The 17,283-nt window shown below is 45.8% G+C and overlaps 1 long non-coding RNA gene across 1 annotated transcript in view; it reads right to left on the bottom strand.

The window, feature by feature from the left end:
* Positions 1-1,480: 1,480 nt before the first annotated feature.
* FLJ40288 (Putative uncharacterized protein) overlaps positions 1,481-17,283 on the bottom strand; it is a 79,976-nt gene continuing 64,173 nt past the window's right edge. The window contains exons 4-5 of the long non-coding RNA NR_046323.1: positions 5,218-5,473; positions 1,481-2,815 (exon numbers count right to left, since the gene is read on the bottom strand). This is a non-coding gene — a long non-coding RNA (Putative uncharacterized protein FLJ40288). The remainder of the gene's footprint in view (positions 2,816-5,217; positions 5,474-17,283) is intronic.

Below are 17,283 nucleotides of genomic sequence, written 5' to 3'. Positions count from 1 at the left end.
TAACTACTGAAAGATTGCGCTGGACTCCACAGGTTTAAGGCCTCGGTCCCACAAAATGCCCCCACTTCAGATGATACCTACAAAGGGAATGGCTGGGCTACCCACACTTCTGCCTGGCCAACTGTAAATTCTGGGGTTCCTGCAACACCCCCTTCCCTTGCCCCTGAATGGCTCACAGAACTCGGGAAAGTGCTTTACTTACTGGTTTATTATAAAGGATAGAAGTCAGGAACAACCAAATGGAAGTGATTTCCATGGTGGGAGTGGTGGGCAGAGCCCCTGAGTCCTCCAAGTGCCATTTCCTCAACATATCAGCGTGTTCACCAACATGGAAGCTCCCAGGATCTCAGCATTCAAAAGTTTTTAGAACCTAGTCTCCAGACCGCCTCCCATCCTGGAGGTCAGGGGCTGAAAGTTACCCCCTCTGATCACGTGTTTGTTCTTTTTGGTGACCAGAACCATCCTGAAGCTATCTAGGGGCTCCACCTTGCATCAACTCTGATGTGGTTGACATGGGACTCCTACAAACAACGAAAGATACTCCTAACACTCTGAAAACCCCAAGGGTTTTAGAAGCTGTGTGCCAGGAACTGGAGACAAAGACCAAATGCACTTTTCTTTCTTTCTTTTTTTTTTTTTTGAGACAGAGTTTCACTCTTGTTGCCCAGGCTGGAGTGCAATGGCACGATCTCGGCTCACTGTAACCTCTGCCTCCCGGGTTCAAGCGATTCTCCTGTCTCAGCCTCCTGAGTAGCTGAGATTACAGGCATGCGCCACCACGCCTGGCTAATTTTGTATTTTTAGTAGATATGGGGTTTCTCCATGTTGGTCAGGCTGGTCTCAAACTCCCGACCTCAGGTGATCTGCCTGCCTTGGCCTCCCAAAGTGCTGGGATTACAGGCGTGAGCCACCATGCACAGCCATGCACTTTTTATTATAACACAGAAAGATGCAGTTAAAACATCCTAATAATCACTCCCAAGCCTACCATTAGTGAATTTGAGGGTCTGTTTCCCCACAGTGTTGTCAGCACTGTTTGTTATCACACTTGCAGCCTTTTGCCAACTTAAAAAATATAATTTATTTATTTATTTATTTATTTATTTTTGCAGAAATGAGGTCTCACTATGTTGTGCAGGCTGGTCTCGAACTCCTGGCCTCAAGCCATCCTCCCGCCTTGGCCCCTCCAAAGTGCTGGGATTATAGGTGTGAGCCACCGTGCCCGGCCCTTTTCCCAACTTGATAGTGATAATAGAATCTCAGAGTAGTTTTAATTTGTATTTCTTTTGTTCTGAATGAGGTTGAGCATCTTTTCATATATTGGTGAGCTGTCTACATTTTGAACAGGTAGGTTGAGGGGAGGAGAATGGAAGGATCCAGAACATTATACTCCTTACAGAAGGTGAGAGGAAGGGCTGTGGGGTCCCACAAATGGGAGTACGCAAGGGTCAGATATGAACTGAAGGTCTCTGATTTTTTTCTTCCATGTTTTTATTAGAGTCAATCCCATTTGCTTCATCTAGTGCCCACTCCAAGGTCCCAACCTGACCCCCTCTGGGTGAGCCAGTCACAGTTCCATTAGTAGGAGACCTCAGGCTTCCTGGAAGATCCTCCGGGATGAGGTTCCCTGGGCAAGCCCAAGTGACCATGCCTAAAGCCCCGCTGAGAGACTGGTTGCTGTGTGCTGCTGGTCACCGCATTCTGATGCCCTTTGAAGAATCAAAATTCCAGGGCAAGGAGCGCCTGGGACCTTATTCAGTGCCTGCCTCCACCTCCCTCTTGACACCAGAAGGTGGCATTGCTGTGGTCCCCTGGACCTTTGCACATTCAAGACAGGAGAAGAAAAATCCATAAGACTCTGCTGTCCTTGAAACAGTGGGAAGAGGAGAGAGAAGAAGGGAGAGAAAGGTGGTGACCCTGTCCTGGGGACTGACAGTCGCTGTCAGCCCCGGCCAGTACAGATGGATTTATGTCCAGCGACCCCGTATTCCAGGACGCGCGGCTGCCAACAGGCTGATGCCTGAAGGGCTGTCCAGAGAGGCGCATCCTCTGAAGCAGCAGAGGCAGAAATGTGACAATGTTTACTCTCCAAGAAAAAAGATTTAAACCATGCCTGTTCTTCCTGACTCGCACGCAGCCTTGCTTCTCCTGTCTCTTTTGAAGAGGTTCTCCAAACTTCTGCTGCTTTAGTCTCCGAGGACTCCTCCACCTCAGTGGCCTCTTGGCAGGTCCCCTTTTCTTCATCCCCCTCAGCAAAGACTGCTTAGAAGTGGGCACACTGGGAACCTTCTAGCATAAACCTAGTGGTGCAGGTGGAGGAAGGTCTGGAGGGCTGTGTGTGTCACAGGCCGGGGTGAAGGGGCTGTGAGATCTGCTAAGACCAGGGAAGCCAGGTTCTCTGTGTAACTTAGGGACCCAGCTCCCGAGAGTGTTTTGTGTGTGTCCATTTTACGGCACTTGACTCTGTTTCCCTAAGCTGTAAAATGGTTGTAAGTATTCCTATAGCCTCCTCATCTCTGGAAATGTTGAGAATCCCAAAGACCCAAGAATTCCAACCAGAAGAGCTCAGATCTTCTCCAAGGAGCACAGTGGGTGGGTGTGGATAACTGTCCTTTCCCTGGAGTTTGAACAATCCCAAGGCAGCGTGTCCCCCAGGCAGTGATAGACGGAGGTCCTCGGCAGCGGGCTCTCTTGGCAGCAGCCTGCCCTGCGTCTGACGAGCAGCCAGCTCAGAATGAAGATAAAGCACCGTGGGGCTTTGATGGACAACAGGCCCAGCTTCTCTTGAAATTGGTCTCTCAAAACAATATACAAACTAATACACAAATCAATGCAAAGTGTTTCAACTGCCAGGAAAACTCAGTCCATCTATCACACTTAAGGGGAAGTGGGGGCTGTGGCGCTCGGCCATTGCCTGAGTCCCCAAGGCCCAGGGGAAGGGATGCTTGGTCACCAGAAACTGACTGCCTGATTGAGCATGTCCCTATTGAGCATGGACCCCAGGGTGACTTGAAATTAGAAGTGGGAGGGAATTCCCGGCCTCACCATGCTGCAGGGCTAGATGAGAGGGGCTGCCGTGCCTTTGTCTCTCTGCTCACCATTGGCCACTCATGGATGGGCTGAAACTTTGAGCGTAGCCATTGGCTCAGGTCCTGCGGGAGAGGGGTAGTAGCTCCAGGCCTTGAACTAGCGATGATGCACAAGTGCCGGTCGTAACTCAAGGTGACTAAGAGCCGGGCAGCCTGGGGATCGGCTAACATTCTTGGGTTCTCCAGAGTTGTTTGCAAGTTGGTCACTCCTCAGCATCCCTCCGGCCTATTCCTCCTGCCTCTCTGCCCATCTGGGAACTTCACGTTTCATTCTCTCCCCAACTTTTTTTTTTTTTTTTGAGTTAGGGTTTCACTCTGTCACCCAGGCTCCAGGCTGGAGTGTAGTGGTACAATCACAGGCTCACTGCAGCCTTGATCTCCTTGCCTCAAGTGATCCTCCCACCTTAGCCTCCTGAGTAGCTGGGATACAGGCACATGTCACCATGCCTGGCTAATTTTTTAAAAACTTTATTTTTTATAGAGATGGAGCCTTGCTATGTTGCCCAGACTGGTCTCAAACTCCTGGCCTCAAGCAATCCTCCAGCCTTGGCCTCCCGAGTAGGTGGGACTATAGGGGCACACCACCATGCCTAGCTAATTTGTTTATTGTATTAAAATTTTTTTTTGTAGACAGGATCTCGCTATGTTGCCCAGGCTGCTCTTGACCTCCTGGCCTCAAGTGATCCTCCCACCTTGGCCTCCCAAAGTGCCCAGCCTCATTCTCTAAATAATGACGCTGTCTGCCTTGAGTTAGGCATTCTTCCACTGAAATCAAGTTGTTAGCTTTATACCAATCTTATTTACTCTAGAAACTTCTTAAAACTTATATGTATATCATGCCTTGCAGTTTGCAAAATCGTTTCATGTACATGGTTGGTAGCATCATCTCCATTTAACAGGAGTGGAGATTGAGGCTCAGAGAGGTTAAATGCCATGACCAGGCTGCCAGAAGGGAAAACCTGGTAGGAATTTAGGAAAAGTGTTGCAGTTCCAAGCCCTGTTCACAGAAGCTGGCCTCTGGCATGGACTCCGTGCCTCCCATCTGATATATTTCAGATGTGTGTGTCCCTGCCCAAATCTCATGTTGAAGTGTAATCCCCAGTGCCAGGGTGGGGTCTGGCGGGAGGTGTTTGGATCATGGGGGAGATCCCTCATGCCTTGGCACTGTCTTTGTGATAGTGAGTTGTCAGGAGATCTGGTCATTTAAAAGTATGCGGCACTTCACTGCCCTATCCCACTCTCTCTCTCTCTTGCTCCTGCTTTTGCCATGTGGAATACCTGCTCCTGCTTCACCTTCTGCTGTGAATAAAAGCTCCCTGAGGCCTCCTCAGAAGCAGATGTCACTGTACTTCCTGTACAGCCTGCAGAACCATGAGCCAATTAAACCTCTTTTCTTATAAATTACCCAGTCTCTGGCTGGGCGCAGTGGCTCACACTTGTAATCCCAGCATTTTGGGAGGCCAAGGAGGACGGATCACTTGAGGTCAGGAGTTCGAGACCAGCCTGGCCAACATGGTGAAACCCCCGTCTTTACTAAAAATACAAAAATTAGCCAGGTGTGGTGGTGTGCGCCTGTAATCCCAGCTACTCAGGAGGCTGAGGCAGGAGAATCACTTGAATCCAGGAGGCGGAGGTTGCTGTGAGCCAAGATCGCGCCACTGCACTCCAGCTGGGGCAACAGAGCAAGACTCTGTCTCAAAAAAAAAAAATTACCTAGTTTCAGGTATTTCTTTATAGCAATGCAAGAACAGCCTAATACACAGTCTTCCAAGGACTCCAAAGAAGCGTTAGAAACTCCATCCTTCCCTTCCATTGTTAGTTTCTGATCTCTTGGTGGCACTACCCATGTGGCACATGGTGGCTGGCATGAGCATCAGCTCCTGTTCTTCAGTGGGCTGACAATTTGCCCAGAGTAAAAGACGGTTATTTTTTAAGGATTTCCCCTCTGTGACTAAAAAAATGAAAGAATAATCTTATCTGCAGCCATCAGAATAAAGAAATGACTGGAGATCCCAGTAAAGGGATTCTGTAACTCACAGGGGCAGAAGAACTCCTAGACCTTACCCATCCTCCTATCTCCCTCCAGGCTGTATCCACAGTGACCCAGCCAGGTCTGTGGCTGACTTACCCATGGGCATTTCCAGGGAGATAGAGATGACCTCCTGGAGCTCATCCAAATGGTTGGAAGTTCATCTTAAATCCCTCCATCCACAATTTGGGTCCATGGTCTTTAGTTGGTCTTTGTCCTAGTTATGGTGTCTCAAACCTGTGAAGCCGTTCCCTGAACCCGTTGGCTGTTCTCTGTGCTGTTGGAGTCACCCCTGATATACGTGGTCAGTCCTGGATGTCCTGCTGTATTGAGGATATGAGCAAACTGGAGGCACCTGGAGGGGTGAGCAGGACATGGAGAGGATCAATCACCATGCTACATTGAGAACAATCCAACAATGTGCATCCTATAGAAAAGGGACTTGACTGATTGACTGGGGTTCAAAGGGGATACACTTAGGAAAAGGCAGGGATGTGTGGGGCTTAGGAGCATGAAGACAGGGAGCTTCTGGGAATGAGGCTGGAGGCCTCACACAGTCTTGGGCATTTGTTCCTGAGGGCAGTAGGGAGCCAATGAAGGTTGGTGCATGGCAGTGGCCTACTTGGATGTGTGAGCAGAGGTCAGCAGGTGGCCACATGGAGAAGGGGCTGGAGGGGACAAGGCTGAAGCAAAAAGGGTCTTAGGAGGCTGGAGCAAGGTCTGCCTGTACCTGAAGCAGAAGCTCATGGCTCTTCTCTGTTGCTGGAGAGAGGCTCTGGGGATTACACGGGCTCCTCCTCTCCCCTGGAGGCTCTGATCTCAGAGGAGGGGATGGTGTGGGTGGTGGAGGGGGCTTTGCTAGCTGACCCCCATCAGGGGAGGGGGCACGCTGCTCTTGCAGCAGATCACATGAGGTGTGGCCAATAGTAGGACTGCTGTTGTGAGAGTGTCTCCCCTTGTGGTGCTGTCTGGGGACTTATTCAAGCTTCTGGGCCTCAGGGCTTCTGGGAAGGCCAGGTCCTTAGGGTGGAAGATTCTAGGCTCACTTCAGGGGAAAAACCCCAGAATGGTCCACAGAGGAGCAGACAGTGGGGTGTTTCTAAACACCTATTCCTTGTTTCTGTGGCTAGAAAAACAAACAAACAAAACCTTTTATTTTTGCAGGAAAATAGAAGGCAGAGACTCAAGGTCATTCCAGGAAAGCTTTTGGGGGTCGTGGTTCTGGTGTGAGGAGTCATGTTTCACTTGGCCCCAGAGGCCACAGCTGTGCACTGCCGTAATAGAGTAGGGCTCATGGAGGTTGAAGCCTTTCCCACTACAGACTTAAACAAAATTACAGTAAAATATACATCACATAAAATGTACCATCTAAATGTACCATTTTTAGTGTTCAGTTCAATAATGTTAAGTACATTCAAGTTATTGCACAACCGTCACCACCATCCATCTCTGAAACTCATTTCATCTTGCAAAACTGAAGCTCTACTCCATTGAAAAACAGCCCCCCATAGCTCCTAGCCCCCCAGCCCCTGGCAACAACCCTCTAGCTTCTGTCTTTATGTACCTATTCTAGGTGCCCCACGTAAGTGTATGATTCCACTTATATGAGGCACCTAGAATAGGTACCTTTCACTTAGCAGAATGTCCCCAGGATTTATCCATGTGGTAGCCTGTGTCAGAATCTCCTTCCTTTTTAAGTCTGAATAATATTCCATTGTGTGTATGGACCATGTTTTGTTTATCCATTCACCCATCAACGCATATTTGGGCTGCCTCTGCCTTTTGGCTATTATAACGAATGCTGCTATGAACATGGATTTGCAAACATCTCCTCGGGACCTTTCTTTTTCTTTTGGCTATATACCCAGAAGTAGAATTGCAGGATCATATGGTAGTTCTATTTTTAATTTTTTGAGGAACACCATACTGCCTCATAGTAGCTGCACCATTTTCCATTCCCACTAACAGCCACTGCAGCGTTTTTATGATATGCCTGTAGGCTACAGGGCCACCATGGGAGGCTAGGATGCAGACTGAGTTACAGCCACATTGGGCACATAATTCAAGCCTCAACCATACCACTGTACAGTCCTGAGCCCCAGGGGAGCAGAGAGCCGTGGAATCTCCCAGCCAACTGTAGCTCAAAATTGCTTTTGTTCAATTTCAGAGCCTTGGGTTTAAATGTAAAAACTCCCCCTAAATGTCCATTTAAGGAACAATAAAAGTTTTGAATAAGCTTTCTCAGATCCAGGGCTATATACTCTTTATAGGGCCAATTGCTTCACTTCACGGTCTTTCTTCACTTCCTTTTTTTTTTTTATTTGTTTTGTTTGTTTGTTTGAGACACAGTCTCACTCTGTCGCCCAGGCTGGAGTGCAGTGGCACGATCTCAGCTCACTGTAACCTCCACCTCCTGGGTTCAAGTGATTCTCCCACCTCAGCTTCTTGACTAGCTGGGATTACAGGTGTCTGTCACCATGCCTAGCTAATTTTTTTTTTTTTTTTTTTTTTTTTTTTTTTAGTAGAGAAAGGGTTTCACCATGTTGGCCAGGCTGGTCTTGAACTCCTGATCACAGTCAGGTGATCCACCCGCCTTGGCCTCCCAAAGTGCTGGGATTACAGGCATGAGCCTCTGCTCCCGGCACACTTCCTTTTCTTATTGGGAGGAATTTTCAAATGTCTCATTCTAAACAGGACTTTGTTTCTGGGGATGTCAAGATGCTATAACGGCTTTTTGCTACCCTGTTCTGTGAGATTACCCTGAAGTCAGAAGATGCAAGAGCTAATATCCTTAGCTATGGCTTCTCTAAAGGAGGTGTAGATATAGTGACCCCTCATTAAGGTGTGGTCTTAGACTCTCCTTTTTGGGAACTGCACACCTCACCCCAGGCCTCCAGTGGCCATGTGTCTGCTGTGTTTTCCTGTCTCTCTTGTTTACCAACTTAGGGACTGACTAAGTTATTCAGTGACCCACACTGAATACTTCATATTTTTCTGAAAATCTGGGTTGTGTCTAAGGCAGTGGTTGGTGATCCAGCCAAATTCTGCCCATCGCCTTCTTGTTTTTGTAAATAAAGTTTTGTTAGGACACAGCCACATGACCATTTATTTGCAACTTGGCCATGGCTGTTTTCATGAAACAATGGTCAGGTTGAATAGTCATACCAGAGACTGTAAAGTCCATAAAGCCGAAAATATTTTCTATCTGGCCTTTATGGAAATTTGCCAGCCCTTGGTCTAAGGAAATGTCAGTCTCTGTGCATGGCCAAACCAGTGTATGTGAACCCCCAGTCAGAGGGGTAGCCACATTCTGCCACGTAGACAGAAGAGAAGAGAAAGCCAGTCTACAGGAAGAGAGAAACAGGACACAGAGAGGGCTGGAGTTGGGAGATGAGACATGGAGGCAAATCCTAATAGCTCCCAAGTCCTCAGTCCAATAGCCTTTCTTTTTGTTTTGAGACTAGGTCTCACTCTGTCACCCAGGCTGGAGTGCAGTGGTGCGATCACAACTCACTGCAGCCTTGACCTCCTTGGGCTCAGGTGATCCTCCCACCTCAGCCTCCCAAGTACCACAGGCACATGCCACTATGCCCAGGTAATTTTTTTGTATTTTTGTAGAGATTGGGCTTTGCCGTGTTGCCCAGACTGGTCTCTAACTCCTGGGCTCAAGTGATCCCCCTGCCTCAGCCTCCCAAAGTGTTGGGATTATAGGCATGAATTACCATGCCTGGCCTCTACACCCTTTCTAAAGTCTGTTGGGTTTCATTAGTTACTCCCAGACCTTTATGATAAAATCACCTTTTTTTCCTTAAGCTAGCTCAAATTCATTTCTGTTTTGGCAATTAGAGTCCCCAGTAATACGCTGGAGAAGCTCTGTGCATCTGTTACTCAAAGATCAGCGGTGGCTCAGCACATCAAAGCCTAGTCCAGGGCTGGCCTTACCTCCTTCCTTTCTTCTGAGCTGGTGATTCAGAAGGAAGCAGGTGTGTGCAAAGTTGGCAGCTAAGCTGACATGGAGAAAAAGTTGTTGGTGAGGAGTCGGGGGTCACAGCCCTGGCGCACGCCTCTTGCTCTTGACTGACAGCCACTGCCTCCTCCCGGCAGGAGCTGAGGTGGCCTCCACACCTTGTGTGCTCCAGCAGCTGCAGTCAGGGGGAATGCCAGAAGCTGCCAACCCTGGCCTTTGTGCCCTTGAACTCTTTGAAACTATTCTCTCAAGTCTACTTTGAATTTTCTTTAGTAACTTTTTAATAAAAACAGACCCAATGTAATCTTTAGCCTAATAGTTTTTGTACTGGCGGCCTATGAAAGTCAGATACAATGCTTGGCATATAGAAGAATGGTGTTTCTAGTTGGAATTTGTAGTAGACTTCAAACAAACTTTTAATGAGAACTTCTGGTTCAAAATGGTGGGCTGAGTACATGCTTTCACCTTTGTCACTTCTGAGATGTCTATCATGGCAAAGAGATTGGGGAGGAAGATTGTTGAATGCAAGAAATCCCAACACATTTCTGGAAGATGGAATGAATGGGATTTTGATGCAAGCAACTGTCGGGAAAAGGCATAACCTGGAATAAAAGTGGGGCTGCAATGGATGTGGGAATCCATATGCTTGTTAGAAAGCAAAAAGGATTCTGGGCTCAGAGTTGGCAGGTACAGTGGAACACAGGAGTGAGAAATGAGACTCACAAGAGGAGGAATGGTTAAAAGTTGCTATGGTTGGTACAGCCCACCTATCATACTTTGGTACAGATAATCTGGTATCTGCTTCAAGATAAAATGTAAAGGGTATATCTGTAAATTTAAATCAGCCCTCTGTGGAAAGCTAAGGCATCTAGTGCAGGTTTTGGTGGTCCAGAATAGAGCCCTCCATGTTCTGGCATTTGGGGAGTTCTTGGCTTGGTTTTTAAGTGAGAGCCTCATACATTCGTCCTAAAGCCAAAGCCACCAGCATGCCACCAGGCAATAATTCACACCCCACGGAGAGCTCCTAATCAGGATTCTAAGGAAGAGAGCTGCTGGGAAAAAAAAAAAGAGACCTCTTGGGTTCCGACATAATGCAGAAAAAAAAATCCCACATCGGCTGCCTTGTCCAGTTTAACTATGGAAGGACAACCAAGAACCACAAGAATTAGAGAAGAACCAGAAGCATGAAAGAGATAGACCAAGATAGGCAAACTGACCCCACTGGACACCAAGTCCATCTCCAAAAAAGTCTTGTAATTCATATACTCAAATTCAGTGATATATTACATCCATAAAACAAGCATAAAATGCAATGAAAAAGGGACAGAAAGAGAAAAAGAGATAGTTCTTACAGATTTAAAAAATCTTGATTATCAAAATTAAAAATGTTCAAAACAAGCTTGGAATGTAAAGTCAAGGGAATCTCTCAGAATGTAGAAAAGAAATATAAAGAGAAAAAATAATAGTGGAGAAAAGGTAAGAGACATGAGAGCTCATCCTTGAAGTCAAACATAAAATGAAGATCAATCCCAGAAAGAAAGAATAGAAAAAATGGAAATTAGCAAAGAAAGAGTAGAATAAAATTTATCAGGGCTGAAGAAGGACCTTAAGTTTAAAAGGCCCCAAATATCCAGCATAGTAAATGGAAAAACAAAACAAAGCAAAGCAAAACAAATGACCCAACACTTAGACATTTTTCTGCAAAATTCTAGAGCACCAAAGACAACTGGTAGATCCTACAATTTCCCAGAGAGACAATGCAAGTTATCTCAAAGAAACTAAACTCAAACTGGCAATTGACTTTTCATCTGTATCCCTCAGTGTTAGAAGACAATACAAGAATGCCTTCAAAGTTCTGAGAGAATAGGACCTAACTTAAAAAAAATTATTTACTCAGCCCAATTGTCAATCAAATATTAGGGCAGAATAAGGCCAATTTAATTTCCTTATACCTTTTCTTAGGCAGCATCTGAGGTCATATCCCAGCAGCATGGGGAAGTAAACAGAGGAAGAGAAAGACATGGGATCCAGGAGACAGGAGATCAGGTCCAATTCAGGAGAACAGCTAAGGAGACCCCAGAGTAACAGCCAGGCTGATCCTGGAGGACGAGCAATCCAGACTGGAAAAGAAGAGCAAAGAGTTCTGCAAGGGGGAATGAGAAGAAAGAGCACTCCTGTGGTAGGAATATCCTCTCAAGGATGGAACATCTTAAAACATGAAAAATGACCATTAGTCAAAGGAAAAAATGTGCTTGGAAGCACCTAGATAAACAAGAAGCTGTACCACAAAGTCAGTATCCCAATAAGCAAAATGTATCATGACTTTAAGCAATTGCTGGAATATAAGAAAGGGAATTCATTGAGCTTTATGCTGGGATGACCATTATTCTTTGAGTGGCCTAAGGATTGCAATTTCAGATTTGTAGAAAGGAAATTGACACACTGGCCCCACTTGTTCAGGCAGAGCAATTTGTGTATTGTGATCATAATTGTTGCTAACAACAACAACATTTAGAGTGCATCTATGGAAGCTCAGAGGATAACATTGTAGTTACAGAATGCAAATCTTAATATCAGCTTTTTAATGTGAAATTTATTCGACAGCAGGTTGGAGACAGAAGGGAGAAGGATGGGTAGGGGCATAAATACTCCCATCTTATCTGAAGGAGAATCAAAATACTGACTAAAATTGATGGAACAGTAAATGGAGGTACTGTGATTTAATGTTATAAAAGTAAATATATCAATAAAAAATATGAAACCACACACATTGAGCTAAGTTTTAAATGAGGACATTGTAAGTTGAAAAACCAAGAAGTAGAGTTATAAATATCATTTAGGTTAAGGTAATCACCACCAACATGGCGCTGCTTGATCCTCTAGGTTTGCTGGAGGGTCATGTGGGGCCAGGAATGGCGTGAGCTCCAGCCTGGTCTCTGGCTGCAGTCAGCACCTTCTGCTTCCCCAAATGCACTAAGTAGTACCACTTTCTATTTGTGCATTGAGCAGAGCAAGGTTAGGGAGCATTATGTTATAGAACCTGACTGGCCTTCACCTCCTTTTTCTCAGCTGATGTATGGTCTGTGCTTGTTGCCTGGCACTTGTTTGCATTACAGACAGACACCCGTGTCCCCCAAGGGTTCTGTGTGGTCCACAGTGGCCTACAGGATACCAGCAATCTGAATAGAAGTGGGGAGCCCTTCGGACCCACGGAAGGCCTGAGTATCTACCACCAAAATGTCTCTCCAGCCGGGCCTGGAGCAGCTGTGTGGTCCTCTGCTGGTGATGTCTGAGCCTCTGAGCAAGTCCCAGTCTCTTTGGGTTTCCCCAGAAGATCCTTGTGTGTGCTGCTGCTAGGGTTGTTTTTATGGTAAACAGCCTACACACTTTAAGGAGGGAAAAAGAGCGAGGTGTTCCACTTGGTTAAAGTGTGTGGAAAAGTCAGTGAGAAGATGGTGCTGATGACACAAGCCTATGAAGCCCTCAAGCCACCTGTGGTGGAGGCCAGTCTTTTGCAGTTACAAATTCTGTATTTGGCAGCACTGAGTAAATATCAGAATAGGCCTTCACCTGAGGACATGGTAGACTTTTCTGGAAAAGGACAGAAAAGCCAGCTCCCTGAACTTTCACTTCACGGACAGACACTGTCACTCAAAGATGCATCAAAATCCTTCCAATCCTAAGTGACTGATTCATAAAACATCTTACAAGCATTTTAGAACAGTGGAGAACAGAAGAGAATGATGGACAGTTTGAATGAAAACACTCATCTTCAGGAAAGACTAGAACTGCTTGCCAAAAAAACCGTGAGATGGGAGCAAAGAATGAAGGAACTGAAGGGACAGAAAACCTGCTTGAAAACGCAAAGGGGGGAATGAAATAAGTCATGGGTGATAAAGTGGGCCAGTGAACATCTCTGATGAAAACCTTGCTGAAGATCGTAGGTGTATCTGTCTCTTTAGAGACCACATGGCTGATGGCAGCTTGAAATTAGAGAAAAAGAAGAAAGCAGAAAGAACTGGAGATCACCAGGTCTATCAGTTACAAGTTGATTTGAAGAGACTCCTGGATGCTGTTAACTTAAATGTTTTCTTTAGAAGATTTGAAGGGAAAAAGCAAAAAAAAAAAAAAAAAAAAATCCAAGAAATTATGTGAAGAAAATCCAATGAATGAAGAGCTTCCAGGACAAACAAAGTCTCCAAACTGAGCAAGCATCTTTGCCGACTGAAAATTCACAGCTTCAAAGTGAGATTCAGAAGCTTCCTCTGGAACTTGAAATACATCAAGAACATGTAATGAAACTTCAGAGAAAATCAATGGAGGAGGAAATACACTACCTAGAAACAGAAGAAACGTTCTACAATGTATGCAGAAACATGAGCCATACATATTGGAAGTACAACCTCTACAGATGATGGCTGAAGATATGGACAATGGGTTAGACAGAACCAGTTCCTTCTTTCCTACCTTTTTTTTTTTTTTTTTTTTGAGACAGTCTCGCTCTGTCACCCAGGCTGGAGTGCAGTGGTACGATCTTGGCTCACTGCAAGCTCCGCCTTTCAGGTTCAAGCGATTCTGCTGCCTCAGCCTCCCGAGTAGCTGGGACTACAGGTGCGCACCATCATGCCCGGCTAATTTTTGTATTTTTAGTGGAGACGGGTTTTCACCATGTTGGCCAGGCTGGTCTCGAACTCCGGACCTTGTGATCCACCTGCTTCGGCCTCCCAAAGTAGTGGGATTACAGGTGTGAGCCACCGTGCCTGGCCCAGTTCCTTCTTTCAAAGCTTTCTTTCAAAGTCTTCTGTGAGAAAAGTACTCCAGAAAGTTGGATGGGTAGGTCTGTCAACAGAAAGAAGTCTCAACAAGCTCAGAAAATAAAATGATAACAGCAAATATTGGCTAATGCTGTGTCTGAGTCCCAGACTCTCTCTGGTGGCCCTTTTGCTCCACACGCAGCCCACAGAGGCCTGGAAGTATCAGGGGAGGACCAGGGCCTTCAGGTCGCCCAGGAAACAGGAGGATAAAGCTGTGAGAGTGCAGGGATCTAGGGTACAGCTCAGTATGATTCAGCCTTCCCAGAAGCCGACCACAGCAAGACATTTGCCTGTGTTCTTGCAGTAAAAGTTTTGATGTCTCTCTTATAGTTTAATGCTTGCCATTCCATGGATGGCATAGTTGCTTTCATTAAAATTTGATAGCATTAAGAGAAGAAGCCAGGCGTGGTCACGTGCACTGATAGTCCCAGCTACTTTGGAGGTTGAGGCGGGAGGATCCCTTGAGCCAAGGAGGTGGAGGTTGCACTGAGTTGTGATTGCTCCTCTGCACTCCAGCCTGGGTGAGAGACCCTGTTTCTTAAAAAAAAAAAAAAAAAAAAAAAAAAAGTAATAATCACAAAAAGAATTAAAAATGGATTGGATTTAGGAATTGTCTGTGGGAAGTGAAGTGGGCAAGAGTGCAGAGACCGCTGCTGTGCATGGAAGCTGGAGGAGCGACTAATCTGGATAGCCCTGGGGTCATTTCCTGCCTTTGGAGCACCTGGTCCAGCCAGGCCCAGCCTAAGCCCACCTCTTTGAGAATGATGAGTGCTCAGGGGAGCAGATACACTCTGCTGCTTCTCTGGCTTGTAAATGTTCCATTAGTAACCCCTATTGTATATTTACACAACCTGGCAATAGCTGCTTATGCCTCCACACTCCCTTTGCACAACACAGCACTTGTGTATGATTTGCTTTGTTTCTGTATGCATATCCTTTTGAGAAAAAATTAAAACTGTAAGAGCCCATTTATTGAATTTCTACTGTGTGGCAAGCATAGTACTAGGTACTGGTGATTGGAGGGTAAACAATAATAGAAGCAAAAATCCTTCTTGAATGACAGGAGATCTAAGGGCTGTGTTTCATAGAGCTTCACTAACACTCACAGAGGGATGTCTGTGAGTTCAACTCAAACATCTGCCTGTTCTCCTCACCCAGTACCCTCTGCCCTCCTGGGGAAGGAGCTCTCTAGTAAGGGTCCCAGGGCAAGGGGCTTCTGAGATAACCAAACTTTCCATTTGTGTACATCTTTGACCAGCCGTGAAATTTCAGGTATCTGGTATATGCCGTGGCAGGAGAAAGGGCTGGGGGTGGGGTCGTAGCCTTGAGAATATCCTGAAAATGACTGGATGGTAAAGCTGATGATTGATATGCCCTTGAGTTTAGCTTTCACATTGAAGGAGGGATAGGCAAGTTGATGGAAAAAACAGGATTTAGGTTTGCTTTTTTATTTTTTTGAGACAGGGTCTCTCTCTGTTGCCCAGGCTGGAGTGCAGTGGCGCGATCATAGCTCATTGCAGCCTCAAACTCCTGTGCTCAAGCAATCCTCCTGCCTCAGCTTCCCAAGTAGCTAGGAATGCAGATAAGGTAGGAATAGATAGGAGTTCCTATCTACCACAACCAGCTAATTACGAAAAAAATTTTTTGGTAGATGTGGGGTCTTGCGAAGTTGTCCAGGCTGATCTTGAATTCCTGACCTTAAGCAATCCTCTTGCCTTGGGCTTCCGAAGTGTTGGGGTTACAGGTGTGAGCCACCATACCTGGCCTGCTTTTTAAAAATTGAGTGCCTTCCTGTTTTTCTAAGCTTGAATGCCCTTTATAAAAACGAAAATAAAACAAATTTTAAAAACCCCACCATTTATTTTCATTCTAGAGTAGTTGACTCAGCCGGGGTCAACAGGGCCAAAGTGATCAACTCAACCCCTGAGATCTGTGTTGCGAATGTTAGTCGTATATCTGGAGGACGAGGACTTCCTATCTTATTTATCCTCGAACCACTTGTGTTCAGAATAGTTCCAGGCACATATGGCTCAAACAAACTATTGTTTAATACAAAGTAATCTGTAGTATATCTTACTTTTGTATCAACCTAATACTAAAATCACAGATGTCAATAAATAATTCACTAGTAAATGTGTCTCTTAGTTATAAGATTTGGTCCTGAATACATAAATCATGTGGCCCATCCCCTTTCCTCCCCTCAAAAGCTGAGTGGGTGAATGGGTAGATGAATGGATGCCCTGTTCAGAAGTGAGTTTGCCATGAGAGTGCAGAAGTTTAGCTCAGCCCACTCTCCACTATAGGAGAAATGACTCAAGCACTGTCAGCAGACAGAGGAATAGCAATACCATATATAAATTTATCAAAACAAGACAGCATCTATTTTATTGTCAATACCACTTCAACGAAATTAATTTCCTTTGCGGTTTTTGTTTCTGTATTTTGGTAGTCGAATGTAGTGCCCAGCACACGCTAAATAATGGTTTCCTTCATTTTCTCATTTTTGTCTTTTTGTTTTTTTCAGAAAGCCCCTGATTGATTAAATGTCTCCCTGCATATTGCCATTAATCCTGTGCTCTTCTCCCCCAACCCCCTCTCCAGCACCCAGGCATTCTAATTTCATTGTGCAGGGAGCTGGCTTGAACCAAAACAAAGCGGCACACGAACACAGTACCAAGCAATATGGCACAGAAGTGCCAGCTCCAAAGGATTTGCCAGCTCAGGAGAGAAGAGGGGATGGAGGCGGGGAGGCCATGGGTCAGAATGTGATGATAGGATTAGAAAGGACTTGGAAAGAGATAGAGAGCCGAGCTGCTCTGTGCTCCGGACTTGGATGAAGCTGTCATGACAAAGTGATATGGTTTCCTACCCACCTTCTCCTGCTCTGATCCCAGCCACAAAGTTGTAGAGAGGCATGGACAGAGTGTTTTATTACTGTTGAAAATGAAGACCTTTTTTTTTTTTTTTTTTAACCTTATGGGCTGCAGGAAAGCTCTACCCTTTTAGTCCCCTGTTTTCCCTATCTGTAAAATGGGTCTCCTAATGCTTGCTAAGGAAGGCAAAGAAGTGTCTTCGCAAGCACTGGCCTAACGAAACTGACCTTGTCATCTGCTGCACAAAGAAATGAAAAGCCATGGCCAGGCCAGCTCCCTGCTTGACTGGGATCTAAACCTCTTGGGGGGACGGAGCTGCCTCCTGCTCAAAGGAGAGCCCTTCAGAGGGATGTTTTACAGACACTGCTGGAAACATAGAGTATACAGTAAAACACAAAGACAAGTGCATTGAGCTAGAGATCCCATTCATTGTGCTTGACAGACATAAATTACTGACCAGACACAGGCATTTCCCCTCATGGTCATCACCCAGTGAAGGGGAGAGATTTTA

Source organism: Homo sapiens, chromosome 7 (genome assembly GCF_000001405.40).
Source record: "Homo sapiens chromosome 7, GRCh38.p14 Primary Assembly".
Taxonomy (NCBI): Eukaryota; Metazoa; Chordata; class Mammalia; order Primates; family Hominidae; genus Homo; species Homo sapiens.
This window is presented reverse-complemented; position numbering and strand designations above follow the sequence as displayed.